The following is an 18,740-nucleotide window of genomic DNA, read 5'->3' as shown; positions in this document are numbered from 1 at the left end:
AGAACGTCGTCTAACTTCAAGAAAAGCTTGACGGATTTGTTAAAGTTAGTTGGTCGATTACGATAATTTGGAGAGTCAGCAGCTCACTCATTAATGATTTTAATAATTATGGCACAAGAGTAGATGACATCTGTTGGAAACTTCTTCTCCCACTGCGTTATTTCCACTTGTGCATTTAGAGTCTGTGTTTCTAGAGGAAGAACGTCAGAGGGCTGTCTGCTGTGTTTCCTACCCTGATTTCTCTGCCCATACGACACAGATTGGTGCCTCACAGCAGTGGGCTACTGTGGAGGTGACCTGGGCTTTACACGTTATTTGGAAAATAATGGAAGAATAAGAGAAAAGACCACCATCCTTCCTGCTTTCAGGTATTGGGATTAACTGAATTCTGTTAATCTTGCTGCCACTAATGACGTTCTGTGTTTTGAGATGATGTAATTGACTTAAAATCTATTTCCCAAATTATTTGTTCATAAATACAGATAGTAAGCAAAGACTAAAGGTGAAACATTATAAAGTAAAATTTTGCTTAAAGGTAAATTATACAGCATTTACCTTTTATTTATTTATTGGAGGGACTTTAAACACTATAATATGTTGTCTGCAAGCTAAAATGTCATTTATATATGTGCAGTCATTCTTGAAGTTAGATGACGATGCTCTTGGAGGTTCTTTGATGAATCGTGACAGCAGATTGCTCTTCATAACGATGAAAGGCTTAATGAGAAAAACTTTAAAGACCTTTTCAGTAATGAATTACTTATCCCCAGCCAACCCACTGTACACAGGCCTTATATTTCAGTAGGTGTTTAGAAGGATGGCTAATGTTACAACATTTTAAAAGGTTTATGGTGAATAGTGAATAGTTACACTGATAATACAGAGCTACGTGAAAAGGAGATATCTGTTTCATGATTGTAGGCTATTAGATAGTCCCATTAACAGCTTGGTCCACCTACTTCCATCCCCCGCCCCCCCGCCAACCCTCTGCATTTAAGCTGAGTGAGGCTAGATAATTTTAAAAGCTATATTGTTTTGCAATCCCTGTTGACCAGTAAATTGGTTGAATATAAATTCCTCTGATAAAATCATGTGATTATATCAGACTAATGTAAAGAACTGCTTTTACAATAAAAATAATTTTGATGGTAAATCAGAGCTTAAATTGCTAACTAAAACAGTATGTAATCGTTGAGTCTCATGTGTAGGATCTCTTCCTACTGAGGGTACCTAAAAGAGTTCCAAATGCAGTACATGTTGAAATTTTCTCCTAAGTATTACAACTAGGGATGAAGAAAAGAAAATGCAAGTGTATTTGCTGACCTTGGAATCCCTTTACTTAATTATCATTCGTGGGGTTTTTTGTGTGTGTGGTGGGGGAGTGTAGGATTAGTGTACATTTGTTAGAACTTCATCTTGGAAGATAATTTTCTTAGGATAAATTTAATAAGATTCTTGGAAGTAAAGATAGAGTAGCATGTTTTTCTCTGTTCTATTAGACTGCGACCTTAAGTGCACAGACTGGGTTTTTCTCTACCATCTATTAAGCCTGCCAAATGTTTAAGAAATTATGGTTTTATGTATAGTTAGATAGAGAAAATATACTACATATGGAACCTAAAAGCTGTTGCTATATTAAATTTTGGAAATGGAAAATCTGAGGGTAGAATCCTCCTCTTCACATTTATAAAGTCATTACATTCCTTCTAACTAAACCATTTTATGTACAATAAGAAAAATACGGCAGTTATACCTCTGAAGTGTTTTGTCTTGATTGTAAAACTCTCTCAATTGAATGTAATTCTATACTTGCTCTTCAAACTTGCTATGCAAATATGCAGTATATTGATATATTAATATTAAGTTTGCTACATGGATTAGTCTACAGATCTTTATACTAGGAACCCTGTTTGCAAGTGTTTAAGTTAAATAAATCGGCAAAAATTAGTGTTTATAATTTGAATTAAAATTACAGAGTTAAAAGAACTGCAACATGAAACACTTTAATGGGAATAGAAGGTGGTTTCATAACTTTCTGATTACATCTCTGAACATTTAAACATTACATAAATTTAAACAAGGTTTAAATAAAAGATCATTTTCTACAGTGATCCAAAAAGCATTGTAAACAGTCAAAATAAGCAAGCCAGTAATCACTTTAGAAGACTATGTACTGGTTTTGATTTGTGGAAGAAAACTTCTGGAATGTTTCCATTTGAATTTACAATAATCTCTTGGGTTTTTTCTCTTTTTATTCTCTTTTTTCATCCTCTAGTGTAAACACATCTTTTTTAAGTGGTGTGATTAAGAGTTATTGCCTAAAGAGTTGACCAAATTAGCTGTTAGTAGTATATGACTGAGACCAAAAGAGCAAAACATGATTTTTTTTTTTTTATTGTTCAAGACACAGTTTGTTGTATTAGTAATGACAGTTACAGTTGGTGGTTTTGTTATTTGGAGCCTAACCAGTATCACTGGGTTGTATGTTGGGAGGAAAGAAAGAGTTTCTGTTTAAATAGCTAACAAATGGGTTTGTTATCATTTCCCCACATACAGGGTTTTGAGTTACTTGTTTTACACTTAACTTCAGCCAATAAGTTGCCTTAATTCCTGATATGATTTGGCTTTGTCCCTACCCAGATCTCATCTCGCATAGTAAGGAGGGACCTGGTGGGAGGCGATTGAGTCATGGGGGCTGTTTCCCCCATGCTGTTCTTCTGATAGTGAGTTCTCAGGAGATCTGGTTGTTTGATATATGTCTGGTGCTTCCCCTGCATGCTCTCTCCCCTGCTGCCTTGTGAAGAAGGTGCTTGCTTCTCCTTCGCTGTCTGGCATGATTATAAGTTTCCTGAAGCCTCCCCAGCTATGTAGATCTATGAGTCAGTTAAACCTTTTATTTATAAATTACCCCACCTCAGGTAGTATCTTTATAGCAGTGTGAAAACAGACTAATGCAGTTCGTTTTTGAAAACATAATTGACCCTTGAGTAACATGGGAGTTGGGGTGCTAACCCCCTGCATAGTCAAAAATCCACATACAACTTTTGACTCCCTCAAAAATTTAACTACTAGTAGCCAGTTGTTGGCTGGAAGCCTTACCGTAACCAACAGTAGATTAACACATATTTTGTATTTTATATGTATTATATACTGTAATCTCGTAAGCCGGAGAAAAGAATATGTTAAAATTATAATGAATGTCAGTTTGTATTCTGGCCCTGCTTCTTCTACGTCATCTTCCTCATTGTCCAGCACTGGTTCAGAAGCACTCATCTCTATCAAGCCATCTTCTGTTATTTCTTCTGATGTGGTATCTGTTAGCTCTTGAATTTCTCCAAGATCTTTATCTTGAAACCCTTTACTCTGATTGGCTCTGTAAATCCTATGAACTCATGCACAATATCTGGACACAGTGTTCTCTAGCAGGAATATGTTTTGGGCCAGATGGATTAGCTTTTTCTGTAACAGTGATGGCCTCTTCAGTACTGTAATCCTACCAGACTTCCATGTTGTTCTTGCTGTTGCGGTTCTCTTTAATAGCAATAACCATATCATCTTTTCTGCAGACTACTGTGTGTAATGAGCCTCAAGGGTCCTTATGACCTCCTAATCTAGAGGCTGTATTAGTGATGTTGTGTTTGAGGGCAGTTAACTACTTTGGTGCCTTTGGTGGTGAGCTCATGGGATTCTGGGTGGCCAGGGACATTGTCCAATATCAAAAGAACTTTAAAAGGTGGTCTCTTACTGGCAGGGTACTAGGTAACTTCAGGTACACAGCATTGATAGAACTGATCCAGAGAAAGCATTCTCTTCCAGGCCTTCTTTCTTATACAGCCAAAAGATTGGCAGCTGGTGTTATCTTTTCCCTTCAAAGCTTGGGTTTAGCAGTTTTATAAATAAGGGCAGTCCTGGTCATCACCCTGACTGCATGTGCATAAAACAGTAGCCTTTTCCTTTCTGTCTTAAATCCTAGTGCTTCCTTCTCTTCCTTACTTATAAATGTCCTTTATGGCATTTCCCCCCCATGCCGGAATAGGACACCTTTGTCCACATTAAAAACCTGTTCAGGCAGATATTCTTTCTTCTCAAAGATTTTCTTAATGGTTTCTGAGAACTTAACTGCTGCCTCTTTGTTAGCAGAAGCTGCTTCTCCTGTTACCTTGATATTTTTAAAGCCAAACCAGTTTCTAAAATTATCAAACCATCCTTTGCTGGCATTAAGTTCTCCACCTTTAGCTCCTTTACTTTTGTTTTGCTTTAGCTTGTATAATGACTGCACTTTTTCTTAAATCATATTAGAATCTAAAGGTGTGCCTTTCCTATAGCAACCCTGCACTTACATACAAGTTGCATTTTTTGTACAAGGAGGTATTTTGCAAAAAGCGGAAGGTTTGTATGGCTGCAGCAATGGCTTCAGGAATTTCCTTTTCTTTCTTTACGATATTTATGCTGGATTCATTTATCTTGACATAGTGAGCAACCACAGCAGCAGACCTCAATCCATGGTGCATATCAAGCAATTCCACTTTTTCTTACGTCCTGACTTTGGTTTCTTGGGAGAACTTCCGGCATCACTAGTGGCACTTCATATGGGTTCCATGGTTTTTTTTCAAGAGTTACAGTATTGCACTAAACATGATGAAAAGTATGTGAGAACTGCTTAAGATCACTTTTTACTGTGATGTGGAACTCACTGGAGTGATGGGCTGCACATGCGGAGATGATTAGCGCCATACTTGTGCTCTGAGCAGATACAACACAAGCTCACCACAATAGCATCAGGAGATGGTGATGAAATTATTCCAGTAGTACAGTATGCACTAAAGTTAATTTTATGCTGTTGTGATCTGATACTGCATCTTTACATTCGTTTACATCTCTTGACTGTGAGTGGTGCCAGGTACAGTCCGTATGCCCCTGTTTTGATACATTTTAACTTTTTATAATAGATTTGTGGCATTTCATGGTAGTAGAAAAAATAGACTAGTATCTACATATATTTTATGCATGCATGGCATACTTAATTTTTTCTTAACTTTTGAAAATATCTCTAGGCTGCACAGTTTGCGAGTTTTTCAAATTGTCACAAATTTCCAAGAAAAATTTCTTCCAAGAAAAATTTCCAATATATTTATTGAGAAAAAATTCACATATAAGTGGACCCATGCAGTTCATATCCATGTTGTTTGAGGATCAACTGTACTCGCTTCTTAGTTCTTTGAAGGAATCTGCTTCCATAAGTTTTCAATATTTTCCCTTGCAAGTTCCCCAGCCGTAACCTCAGTCTAACACTAATATTCTATTTCTAATAGCTCACGAGAAGCTCGCAGTTAGCTAACAGTGAGTGTTCGTAGTGTGCCAAGTATTAAGATAACTCCATGTATTCTACTTGGATGTTTAACCATTACCTCCAAACTCTAAAAGTTCGAAAATCAAATTCATTCTTCTGTCAAAGCTCATTTCCCTTCCTAAGTCCTCCTTTTCTGTCACAGTTCTCAGTCCTGTTCACCTTTTTCAGTTTCCCTGTGTGCTATGAAGTCACATCTCCCTGCCTTTCCTGATTCCGTTCCTTCTAGCTAGAATTCTGTGCCCTCTTTTCTATTTCTGCTAATAGCCAAAATATATTCTTTGTAAAATCTGTAAAAGTGATTAAGATGTCTTTACTCCCCCCATATATCAAAAAGTTGGCATGTTTAATAAATGTTAAAGGCTGGTTGCAGTGGCTCAAGCCTGTAATCCCAGCACTTTAGGAACCTGAGGTGGGTGGATCATGAGGTCAGGAGTTCAAGACCAGCCTGGCCAAGATAGTGAAACCCGGTCTCTACTAAAAATACAAAAATTAGCCGGGCATGGTGGTGGATGCCTGTAATCCCAGCTACTAGGGAGGCTGGGGCAGAGATTTGCTTGAACCTGGGAGGTGGAGGTTGCAGTGAGGCAAGATCACACCACTGCACTCCAGCCTGGGCAACAGAGCAAGATTCCATCTAAAAAAAATAAATAAATGTTAGAGCATTTGGGGGAAAAAATATGTAATATATTATCTAAATCATAGGTCAGCAAATGGCCCTCAGGCCAAATAAAGTCACCACCTGCTTCAGTAAAGTTTTATTGGAACATAGCCATGGCCATGTGTTTTGCTGCTAAGACCATATGCCCTGCAAAACATAAAAATTTACTATAAAAATTTACTCTGTGGCCCATTACAGAAAAATGCTTGCCAAACCCTGCTCTAAATGAACACATGTTAACTAGAGTCCACCGAGATTTTTGCCTAAGTTCCAAATGCTCTTTCTATAGCAGGTGAGCTTGTATAGCCTGTTCAGAACCACAGGCAAGAAAGAGATGTGTGGTATACTTTTCATTAAGGTTTACTTTAATTTCTTTCTACGTTGGCATAGTGGTTTTTTGTTTGTTTGTTTGTTTTTGAGACAGAGTCTTGCCCTGTTGCCCAGGCTGGAGTGCAATGGCATGATCTTGGTTCACTGCAACCTCCGCCTCACAGGTTCAAATGATTTTCCTGCCTCAGCCTCCCAAGTAGCTGGGTTAACAGGAGCCTGCCACCACACCCAGCTATTTTTTGTATTTGTAGTAGAGATGGGGTTTCACCATGTTGGCCAGTCTGGTCTCTAACTAAGTCCTGACCTCGTTATCTGCCCACCTTGGCCTCCCAAAGTCCTGGGATTACAGGCGTGACACACCGTGCCCAACCACTAGCAGAGTATTTAAAAAAAAAAAAAAAACACTTGGCACTTAGAGACAAGGCATCAGGTAGTTTACTTTAAATTCTTTTTACACTCCTGAACTGTCAGCTCCTTAATGCCAGAGAATCTGATCTAAACCTTCTATGGCTAAAATCTGGAATTCTACTTGCTTCCCTCTACTATGTAAACAGCGATAATTTCCCAAACTTTACTTTGTAGCAATATTGAAGTAACGCTTCAGTTACATTTCTACTACCTTTCCCCCAAAAAGATTTAACCCAGAAAAAAGTAACCTGATACTCCCTTTTCTTCTGTTTAGATCATAGTTTTAAATAATACTTAGAAATTACCAGCAGTATCTTAAAACTCATTTCAGAACTTTTCCTCATTCATTGGTGACCGCAAAAAAAGGTTGAGAATGTAACAGATGGCGAATAGAAAGAATAACTGTATCCTGATTTTGTGCCCCTGTAAGTTCCCCTCTGCATAAAATTTGAATCTGTAACCATGTACCTTCTCAGCCAGAATTTCAAAGGTTATGGTGTTCATCTATAAATTTCAACAGTCTAACGGAGACAATTGAAAAAGAAAAATGTGTTAGAAATAGTTAAGGGAGCTAAAGCTTATACTAGAATAAATGTAGAAATCTGCAACTAAGGTTTGGGAGTGATAAAGGGAACTGAGGAATAATAATAACCCACATGTCAGCAATTGCTCCCTAAATCTGAGAGCCAACACTGCAGTCCTAGCTTTGGCATAAGAGTTAATTATAGAGCTAAGGCTGTATTGGTAATGTATCAGAAAAAGGAAAGAGGGTTTTAAGAAATACTGTTCAGGTTAAATAAACCTTTCTTTGACCCAGCCATCCCACTCTGGTGACCTGCTGTGCAAATATAACTGCACGTTTATGATGTTACATGTTCAGGTTTATTTGATTCAGCATTTTTTGTAATAGCAGAAGACTAGATACAATTCAAGGGTCCAGCAATAAAGGACTAGATCATAAAATCAAAAAGGCATTGAAAGTTAAGCCAAATGAAAACATGTCACTTGGGCGTATACATTATCAGCAAAATAATGTTGGAAATGCAGTGAAGGGTGAGCCTAAGAAGTTTCTAGCAAGGGATGGTAAATGAGAGACAACTGTGCATTACAAAATTTTACAAATGTTAAAAAATGTCAAGTGGTTTTTAAGTTGCTTTACCTTTTACTGTAATACATGAAAAACTTGTAAGGGCTTGCACAGGTTGCCTTGTTTTAGTTCCCATTCCTGTTTTTTATAAATAAGGTTTTCAGGAATCGAGTCCTCATGGCTCAGTTAGAACTCCTCTGATTCTTAGTTTCTTCACCTGTGAACAGAGTAAAGGTGAGATATTAGAACAACAGTTAAGAAGTACATTTCTTGCAAAAATTGTGTTCACAGGGGAACAGCAGTTTAGATGTTAACATTTGTACCCCATAAAAAGGATTCAAGGTAGTAGGAAGGGATACTTGGAAACTTACCCTCTGATGACGTTTGTCTGAGTAAACACCATTATAGGCAAAGACAATTATAGGTAAAAGCTAACCAGAGGTAAACAACAGGAGCCTACATTTTAGATTCATGTGTGTCAAGTAGAATTTCATAATGGCTTAGATATGTGGGGTAAATGTAAAGAATCAAAGAGAACACAATTTTTGTGCTTAGAATCCTGATAAATGTTTTCTGTGATAAATTAGTCATGGTAGAGAATTTGTTTTATGGGGGAAAGAAATTTCTGTCCTCTAGGGTGTTTCCTTTGAGTTCAGAAAAATTAAAATTCTGGACATGTAGAAGTTGATTGAGCTTTGACTAGGTTACTAAATTAAAATTTTTAATGCATTGCTATCTCATTGTATCATTATTTGCTATAATAAATCTCTGGATTTTATTTTCGAATATTTGAAAACTGGAGTATATTTTATTTCTTCTTACCTGAACAAAAAAATGTGGAAAAAATGGTTTGGGTTTTGTTTTTGTGTTTGTTTTGTTTTTTGTTTTTTTTTTTCATGCTACATTTTTATAGTAACTACCTGTATTAGACGTTTTTCCCCAGTGTTTTAAGTATTTATGTAAAACTCCACATGTATTATTCACAACACTTTTCTGTGGTTAAGCTTTTATTGCCACTTTTCAGACGTAAAATAAATGGCCTGGAGAGTTTATGACCTATCTCGTTACACATCTATGATACAAATGTAACTCAAAGTCTTCTGACTCCAATGTCATTATGTCTGCCTACCCTAGTATCTGTTTTCTTTTTAATGTCATAATACTGTAGCTGGTTGACAACATGCTTCTTATCTTTTCAGGATATGGCTTTAGTTGCCCCTGAAGCTCCTTCAGAACAAGCCAGAAGAGTTTTTCAAACCTACGACCCAGAAGGTAAAAGATTTTAACATCATCTCTGTGTTTTATGTCTTCATATGTTTGAAATACATTGATAGCGACCTGATTTTATTCAAAAGATATATTGGATTATTTAATGAAATGTAAGTTGTGTTTCTTGAACATTTTAAAAGGAAAGTAGTGAAAATGGGAACAAATGAAATAGCACACAAGTCCTTGTTGAGTTGGGTTTCTGTGTTTCTTGGAGTACTGAAGGTGTAGTTGACCCCTCTGATTAATCTTGACCCCAAACAGGGAAAAATACCACCTTTTGAACAAACTGTTTGAAAAGTAAATCATTTTCTTCTTTACTTATCCAAACGAATATTAAATAAACAGATCTTCCAGGATATTTCTGTATAATTGACCTCCCAGGATAAAGAAGCAGAGGAAGATCATCTGAATCATTCACTTTGGAGCCTATGCTTAGCTATTCTACCTAACAAAGTATAGTTTTTAGAAGTTCACATATATATCATTAAAATGTCTACTGAGTCATTGTCACTGAGGTTGTTTTGATCACTTTTGTGTTTACATATTTAGGTAACGGTTAAGACTTTATTATAGCTAACTCACTGACCTTTCAAGTATAACTTCAAAACTAAGTTGTCATACTTCAGAGTTCCCTTACGAAGTACCGTGTAGAAATGGAAGTTGCTGTATCCGTGAAGTCCTTGTAGATATCTGAATGGATTCAGTTATCTTTACTTTCTTCTGTCTTGAAACTTTGTACACTTAGTGATCTGCTCTTTTCCTCTCTGAAAATCCATGTCATGCAAATTCTAAGAATATATCTTCTCTTACCACTTACTAGCAGATAACTTTAGGCTAGTTACTTTTAGGTCTACTGTTTTCTTAGGTATCAGTCTTAGAACAACTGTAACTAGTTCTTAGAGGCGTTATGAATATTAAATGAATAATGTGGAAAGCACCTTGCCCAGTGGTACAAGCAGTTGTCCAAGGTAATAGTCATATTCTTAACCCAGTATAACTATGAACATTCCAAAACCAAACACATGGCTTTCATGTAATCGTTATGTGTTGTGTTGTGTTTTGTTTTACTAGTGAAGATTTTGGAACCACAGTTGAAACGGAGTGAATGACTTTCTTGAGAAAAGAAACATAAAAGGAAAGGATCAGAAAATCTTAGGAGATAATAACTATTAAAGAATAAAGGCATGAAAAAATGCCTTCAGAGCAGACATAGGAGCCCTAAACTTTAGAAGGCTGATGTTGTAAGGCTGAAAAAATTTCATCAATGCTGCAAAGATACTGAAATTAAGGTTGTTAAAGTAGGAGACAGTTGTCATAAGTAGTAGCTTTGTTTGCTTTTAGTAATCACTAATGAGGTAGCAGGCTTGTACTATTTATTTTCTTTTACAGTGTACCAAGGAAAATGAGAATTTCTCATATTACCAATACTAAAACATAATTTATAATCAGTGCAATTTTTCAGAATTGAGTTGTGAGAGATGCATATGAAAATTTGTTGTATTTCTTTTAGACAAAGAAAATTACTAAATGCTTTTAATCTACAGAGTTACATGTGACAGCTTATCATGACTATAAACTGAATTATTAAAGCAAGCAAAACTTATTCAGATAGCTTAGAAAGTATGCCTCTATATATGACTTAGGAAGAAGATAAAATCCACTTTTCATCTAAATATCACACTGTTCGTGGTTTAGCTATGTGTATAGTCAGCTCTAAGAAGGATTAAAAGTAGATTAATTTTTCAGTTTTTTTTCTTTTCACTTACAAACTAATCTGCTAATTTAATTTTCTTTCCCCAAATGATATGCTTTTGTTTCAGGATGTAAGCAAATCATGCGTTCTCAGAACACTTAGTATGCAGAAAGTTCTTACAAGCATTTACATACAGTTTCCATTTAGCAGAGGCTGGTATAGGGACAGTTATCCTGTGTCACCCTCCTCAGAATGCTTTTAGAATAACTGACCTAGAAGGACACTGAAGGTACCCAGGAGTATTTTTATATCTTTATCTCACTTTTAGCTCCCACCCCTGGTTGATAAACCCAGCTCTCTGACAGGTAGGTGGATTTGCAGTCACGCTGTTAACACTGTGCTGTGGGTATATTCCTAATTAAATAGGCGTGTACAGGCCAGTCACCATTTATAGCATTGCCTCTATGAGACCACATCTTCCATAGTGTAAACAAGTGATTTAGTACTGATCGTTTGGAGCATAAACCTGGTATGAAATTGGGGATCTATCTAAGAATGATGTGTGGCATTTGCGTGGAATGTTACGATTTCTGAAGCACTTTACCTCCATGACCTCATTAAAACCTTGCCACAAACCTAGGAGATAGGCAGGGATCATCATCCTTGTTTTTGTTCTTTGGAGAACAACCTTTTGATGGTTTGAGTCACTTCTCCAGAGCCACATACCTAAATGTGAGAACCAAGACTAGATTTTAAGTGTTTCAGCAATCTTTCCCCTTCTCTCTACTACCAGTATCTTTCTTGAAAGGCTAAAGTCATAAAAAGGTACTTTTTAACCTTTCTAAATTTAAGTTTACTTTGAACTGTTAATTTAATGGAGTAAGGATTTGATATTCTCGCTTCTAGTTGAGCAATTTCTGCCCATTTCAGAATCTTGAGGATCTTAGGAGCCCAGTACTTATTTTGATATCAAGCATACTTATAAAACAAGGTCAAAAATATAGTTTTTAACTGTTAATTTCTCATTTGAATAGTAACAAAATTGTACTTTCTGTGGGACCTTGATGTATCACCTCTAGATAATTGGCTCAGTTTAATCTCAGATTCAGAAAGGGGAGACTAGCACACTTACTCAGCTTAAAGAGAAGCAGTTATCAGGTCTATTCAAAGTGTTCCACATGAGCTTTGGAGAAAGTCCACAGTGTTTATTTTTGTGTGTCTTTTTTGTGGAAGAAAATGTTTGGATATGTGCTTCGTATTCAGGTACATGTTTTATAGGAATTATTGTAAAATGATTGATAAAGATATATTAATATGATCAAAGATACTGGACAACAACAATTCTCTAGTGCCTCTGGATACCAGGAAAATGGCTCCATCCGTTACGCCTCACTAGCTGTGTGATGTTGGACGAGTTCCTACCTCAGTTTTTCATCTGTAAAATGGACTTAAGAGTAACTTTATATGATTAGTCAGCACTCAATACATTAACCATGGTGTTGTTTTTTTAAAAAATGTGTGGCACAGAGCTTATTCCATAACCTCCAAAGACATCAAGGTCTACATAGGTAGTGTCTGAACTGCTAATCACAGGTTTTCACATTATACATAATGAATTTTGTTTTCTTCTTTCTCCTTTATCCCCTCCCCCTTGTACAATTATATGTCAGGAAGCAACACCATTTCTTTTAAATCTGAAGCTGTTTGTTTTGTTAAGTTGCTAAAATATGTTGACAGCCATATTTTGTCTGATTTCAGTGTACTGCATTTTTTTAATCTTTAAGAATAATTGGACTATTGTAGGTAGAGCTTAATATACACCACTCCCTAGGCATTCTCTAGAATTGCCTTGTCTTTTCTGTTCCTTTTAAATAAATGCTCCTCCCTGTGCCCTTGCTGTGGCCTCCCGTCACTGTTAGCACTGTTTCTGTCAGGCATCCCCAGCTAACAGTTTTCTGTATAGTGCCACCATATTTTGTACCTTTTCCATCCCATAATAAAAGTGAATTTGCAGTACAAGCTATAAATGAGCTACTTATTTATGAGCTTGTATCATTAAAAGTAACAAATGTTAACGAGCAGCTATGAGTCAACCACTGTGCTAGGCCCTGGGGATCTGGACTCCCTGCCCTCCAGAACTCATTGCCCACTGGGGAGCCAGAAGTAATGCCAAAGAGGTCTGGAAAAGCTCAGCTCTGGTGTGTGACTTGGCCTTGGGGAAAAGGTCACTTGCTTTTTCAATAGGAATATAGACCTACAATTTAATAAATACTAAGGCTTTATTAAATTCTATTTTTTTTTTAATTCCCAAGAAACTGTAGTCTCCCTCTCCCACAGTGTATGGAAAATGTTAGTCTCAAGTACAGTGGGCTTCACAGTTTCCTTATAAGCTGTTTGTTGCACAACTCTGAGAAACCTTTTTCCAGCTTCTCTGTTAGTTTTGAGTATCCAACATTTGGCTTCTCTTCCTGCAGTGTCCAGTTTAGCTAGTATCTCTGTTAAAATTGAGACCTGCTAGGCTCTCCTGTTTATTTCTTAATCTTTCAGGACAGAAATCCTGATTGTTTTATATTTCCTTTGAAAGCCCAACTCAGGTTTCCTCCCAGTTATGAAATAGTTATCTTATCCAGGAAATTACATGCCTCACTTTCACTGTCCTTCATCAGCGCTCCTTTGCATTGAGTTATTCCTCCCCACAATCTCTAAGGACTTGACACTTTTAGCAATCTGGATATTCAACTGGTAAAAATCTTTTAAAATTTTAAACCAACAGCTTTTTTCCTCCTTTCAGCCACAATCCAACAGCATTACAGTATGTACATGCTAGCCGTTTCCCATCCTGGCTGCTCTGCCCTCTTTTGCTTGCCCTGCCTCATAGTCCCCATTCTTTTGTGTTGATATCTATGTAGTTAATTTACCAGTGTATGCAAGTTCTATTTTTTTCTTTTAGTTCTTCATAGATCTGCTTGACTAATCAAATGGTATTCTCTGAGATTTCCTTTGCTGTTGACTTTGAGGTTGTCTTTTCATCTTTGTGCCTCTGTTTCCTTATTCTCTAGGGAGTCAGTTGGTGAAATGTCAGATGACCTAGGTTTCATCTGTTTTTACACTTAATGATTCTGGCCTTTTTCTAAGGAATTTTTTGTAGGTATGGTTAACATGTCAAAGTAAGTCTTCTACAAAGGAAAATAATTTTGAAATCTCTTCTAATCTTGAGTATATTAAAAGTTTTGAATTATTGAGAAAATTCTATTACATCTTTAGTTTTAAAATACTAAATGTACAAAATGTAGAGTTACTGACCGGGTACAGTTATGGTTACACTTCAGAATATCTGTGCTTATGAGTTGTAAATCTCATAGCTACCTTAAAAATGTTTAAGCTTGAGGTTAATCATATATAAGCATGTTGTTAAGAAGGTCACATTGTTGTTTTTGTTGTCATTTGCCAATTAGCTCTTGGTTGGGGTGGGAACTGAGTTGCAGGTTATGGTTTCTGCGGAAAGGCTGCCAGCCATGACAAAGTACATGCTGTCAGTGCTCCTGAAAAACGGTGTACAGACTGAGCATCCCTCACCCGAAAGGTTGATCCTCCAAAATTTTGAGTGCCAATATGACACCGTGGAGCATTTCAGATTTTGGACCAGATCAGGGATGTTCAGCCATTATATATTTGCAAATATTCATAAACCAGAAAAAATTTGAAATCTAAAACATTTCTAGACCCAGGCATTTTGGATGAGGGAGACTCCACCTGTAATATCAAATGGATATAGCCTATAAACACAGAAACCTAATTGTTCCTGTCTGTTGGTGGCCACATAAAGCCTGTTTCACATTCGGAGACGCTGAGCCTTTAGCTATGACTTAACTTAAGCAAAATCAGTGATCAGACTCATCAAAGCTAAGCCCACAGAGCCAGAGCTTGAATGTTTTCACAAGTGCCTTCAACCAAGGTCGTCTTTATTCTCAGTACCTCAAATTATTGGTAACTTAACAAACTGGAATTACTCTAAACCCTTCACTTAAAAAATTGCACATTTTTAATTATTCTAGATGACTCATAACCTTTTAGTCAAGGCCAATCTGTCTTCAAATGGGTAAACAGCTCCTTATGAGGTTTAAGAATAGAAAAGAGGTTTAAGAATAGAAAAGACCTTTCTACAATCATAACTTCATTCCTTTCTGATAGAGATAGTGTACAATTCCACACCCTGAAAGAGCAACTGCACACTTTATTCTGTAGTTTGATTATAGGAGCAGGGCTTTTGGACATCTTGTTCTCCATGGCAAGATTTTTTTTTTAATCATCTAATCCCTGAAGGACATTGGAAGCTGATTTAAAGCTGAGACAATCTTCAGGAATGAGTAAATGGATAGGGAAAATTGGGCACTGTACATTTAAGGAATAAACAACTTTTGTTTAAAACCACTCTCATTTCAAACTACCCCACAAGGACTTTGTGTGTGTCATGGTCTGTTGCATCATCAGAGTTTGGACCATTTTCCATAAAGTAGTCATCATCAGCATTAGTTTGACTCTTCATTTCAGGGCTGTTTTTTTTAAACCTACAGCTTTCATTTAAATCACCAAGTCTGTTTTAGAATACCTTTGCTGTTAATCTGTCAGTTGTCTAAGTATCAGTGGATCACTGACATTCCTTCAAGAAACTAAATAACATTGTGACAAAGGGAATTTGTTGGTAAAGAATTATTTTAATTGAATTGTTAAATGCAAATGTAAAGGTTTACTTTGTTTATTGAAAGATAAACCTAAGATTTTAAGTAGAAAAATATTTTACCCACTTAACGCTGTAACACTGTTTAAAGATCAAGTAATTTGACTTTAAGCTTTCGTCGGAGTTCTCAAGTTAAAAAATATTTTTAAGTATTTGCCGATGTTTCCAAGAAAACAAATAGAAGAGGGTCTCTAATAGCAATAGGCACTATGCCTAAAATAAACTTAAGGAATAGTATGTTAACTCTTTGTATTTTTTATGCGATTTTTTTTTCCTGGAACCTGATCAGCATTAATAGCATTTCTTGAAGTAAATTCTTATTTCAAGTTGTTTCTGATTTTTTCCCCCCTAGATAATGGATTCATACCCGATTCACTTCTGGAAGATGTGATGAAAGCATTGGACCTTGTTTCAGATCCTGAATAGTAAGCTAAATAGGAAGTGTTATTTAGCCAACTCAAAAAGATTCGATTAAGTTTAAGACATATTGTACATTTTTTGCCTTTTTAAAAATCTATATCTGCATATATGAAGCATAGCAATCTATGTAAGGCAAAGATTAAGAAATCGAACTAATCCAATATTATAGCAGACTTGACATACTTAAATTGAGTTTCCTTTCCCACCCAGCAATTACTGTCCTGCTTTTTAAAAAATGCTAAAAGTGTCTTTCTATAAACTTTAAAAAGTTTCTCTGCAAACACTTCCCCACGTCTTAAAATTTTATGTGACATTAGTATCTTCAGTAAAGTAATGACGGTTCTGTGTAGATGGTGCTAGTTGCCCTGCTTAAATAACCAGCAGGCCTCTGACTTTCCCTCTTAAATAAAGATGATCAAAGATATCTAACATTTCTAAATGATTAAATTAACTGACCTGAAACTTTTAGGGATGGCTGCAATATATTATGGCATATCGTTTTTCAGTATTTTCTTAGGATCCTGTCATTGTCTTCATTCTCACTGTTATGTTTTATGCATTGTTACATCTACAACTTCCTCTGTAGATTAAGATCTTTAGTTATTATCCATGAAAAAATAACTCTTCTTAAGTGGATACATGTATTGATCAAATATGGGAATAAAAGTTAAGATAGGACCTTTACTCCTTTTTTCAGCATAGTTTTTCCTTCTGCAAGTTTTTCTAAGAATGCAAAAACTTGAGCTTATCAAACATAATGAAAGAGTTCAGCAAAAGCAACAGGAAACATTGGTAGACACCGTTTTTAGAATTTGGTCTTGTTCCGTTTTTAGATGAGTTCAGTCATACTTTCTTTGAAAGTATGCAATACACATAAACTAGCCACATCTGAATTAATGTGTCTCAAGCTTACTACTCAGAGCTGTGATTTCATCCATTCTCAATAGTTAGAAATATTAATAAATGAATAATTGTTTTCAATTTAAAGAGAAATTCAGAGTGTTGAACTAGTCCAACAAATGGTATGATAGTAATTACTATACTTCTTCTAACTTTATTTCCAAGTAGAGACCATGTTGTTTACACTGCTCTAATTTACAAAAGAGAATTAACTCAAGTAATTTTTGTTACTGACCAGCCTAAGACAAGGAAGAGAAAGAAGAAAGTTTTTTTTTTTCCAAATTCTTCCATAGCTATATATCATCTACCTAATTTTCCTTGTTTTATCAGATGGAAAACGTACCTTGAATCATGAAGTTAGTACAATTGATTCAATCAGGTTGTTTTTCTTGAAGTAGTTGAAAGATTGGACTGAAGTATTCACTCTACTTTGGCCTATTTACAACTGTAATACAGAATGGCCCATGAAATAACTGGGCCATCCTAAGGATTAAATGAATTAAACACAAATGACCCTGCCTTCATTTGTTTCATCATAACTTCCCGGCCTTACTCAGACTCATTAAAATGCCATATCCTTTGTACAGTATACTATACAAGAATGATAGCCACAGGCCCACAAAAGTATCTCACAGGGCCAATACTAGACGTCAGGTAGGAGGTCTGTGAGGCAGCCTGACCCAGGTGTTTCCGGGAGAGATGGCTATGTCAGCGCAGATGCAGCTTTCATAAACCTTAAAACATAGCTTACCCTCACAAGAATAGCTTTAACTCCTTTTGTGAAAGGCACACCTGGTAACTGACCCAGACCGAAGAGGCAAACTGAAAGGAGAGAAGTTGCCCCTGAGGAAGGTGGTTGACTAGAACCACCTGAAATCCCCAAACACAACACTTTGCATGTTGTGTAGTAAGGTAGATTTAACTTGGCCTTTATAGTTTGAGATAGCAAGGAAAATAAAACTTTTCTGAAGACTATTTTCATTTTTAAACCCATTAAACTGCAGTCTGCCTTCTTCTGCCTTCTTCTTCCTTCTTTCTAGTCACACATAACACCACCTGTCACCAGCCTTGGTACACCTGCATTGTAAGGGCTGGTATGCACTTTAGGCTGCTGCTGGACCAATACAGTATATATCAGTCACTGTCATTCATGACGCATTAGCTCTTTGAGAATTAATGTAGCTCTTTAACCTTCAAATTACATTGTCTATGAATTTTAAGCTGCTATCTCATTTAGTTTTTAAAAGTAAGCTTTTTAAGAGATGTTTTCTATTATCTGATGTACCACTGCCTTTTGACCCTGTATTTTAAGCCCAAGGAGAAAAAGAAAAACATTTTGTTAGTTAAATGCCTCATTTGTTAAATTCAGGCATACCTATGAAGCAAAGAGAATTTGCCTTTGGGAAGTTACAAGCTTGAGTTTATAAACCTTGGTTTTTAAATTACTTTACCTAATAAGGAACAATATTCCAAAGTCATCACAATTTAAATTTTAAATAGTAACAGATTACTCTAGTTTAAAAATAACCAAGTTTGGCAAATTAGATGTCATTCCTGTGTATTTGTCATTAAGGTTCTAAAAAGAACAGCTCTTAGTGTTTTTGGCAGCCGAATGTGTTGTAGTACCAGTAATTTAATCATGAAAGAAAAGCAGCTTTTTTTTTTCCTCTGGTATCCACTGTTTTTCTTCTTTCTCCCCGTAGTATAAATCTCATGAAGAATAAATTAGATCCAGAAGGATTAGGAATCATATTATTGGGCCCATTTCTTCAAGAATTTTTTCCTGATCAGGTAACATAGTTGAGGAAATATATTCATTGTTATTCTGTTGGGATGATTACCTGTGATTGTTTGCAGCATTTTCTCTTTCTGTACAATGTCCTAATG

General features: G+C 36.1%; 1 protein-coding gene and 1 long non-coding RNA gene across 16 annotated transcripts in view; one reads left to right on the top strand and one right to left on the bottom strand.

The window, feature by feature from the left end:
• LOC124902383 (uncharacterized) overlaps positions 1-18,740 on the bottom strand; it is a 121,044-nt gene that overhangs the window by 53,596 nt on the left and 48,708 nt on the right. For 2 of the 3 annotated variants that reach the window (XR_007062071.1, XR_007062070.1), the window contains exon 2: positions 7,906-8,050. This is a non-coding gene — a long non-coding RNA (uncharacterized LOC124902383). Of the gene's footprint in view, positions 1-7,609; positions 8,051-18,740 lie in introns of those variants that run through there. The other variant, XR_007062069.1, reaches the window with a different exon arrangement.
• The window catches only part of MINDY3 (MINDY lysine 48 deubiquitinase 3), an 82,334-nt gene that overhangs the window by 55,303 nt on the left and 8,291 nt on the right, over positions 1-18,740 (top strand). For 10 of the 13 annotated variants that reach the window (XM_005252600.3, NM_001318330.2, XM_006717508.3 and 7 more), the window contains 3 exons: positions 9,033-9,105; positions 15,886-15,958; positions 18,557-18,644. In XM_005252600.3, the coding sequence (XP_005252657.1) occupies positions 9,033-9,105; positions 15,886-15,958; positions 18,557-18,644 (234 nt within the window). Of the gene's footprint in view, positions 1-9,032; positions 9,106-15,885; positions 15,959-18,556; positions 18,645-18,740 lie in introns of those variants that run through there. The other 3 variants (XM_047425776.1, XM_047425775.1, XM_047425772.1) reach the window with 2 other exon arrangements.

Source organism: Homo sapiens, chromosome 10, assembly GCF_000001405.40.
Source record: "Homo sapiens chromosome 10, GRCh38.p14 Primary Assembly".
NCBI lineage: Eukaryota > Metazoa > Chordata > Mammalia > Primates > Hominidae > Homo > Homo sapiens.
This window is presented reverse-complemented; position numbering and strand designations above follow the sequence as displayed.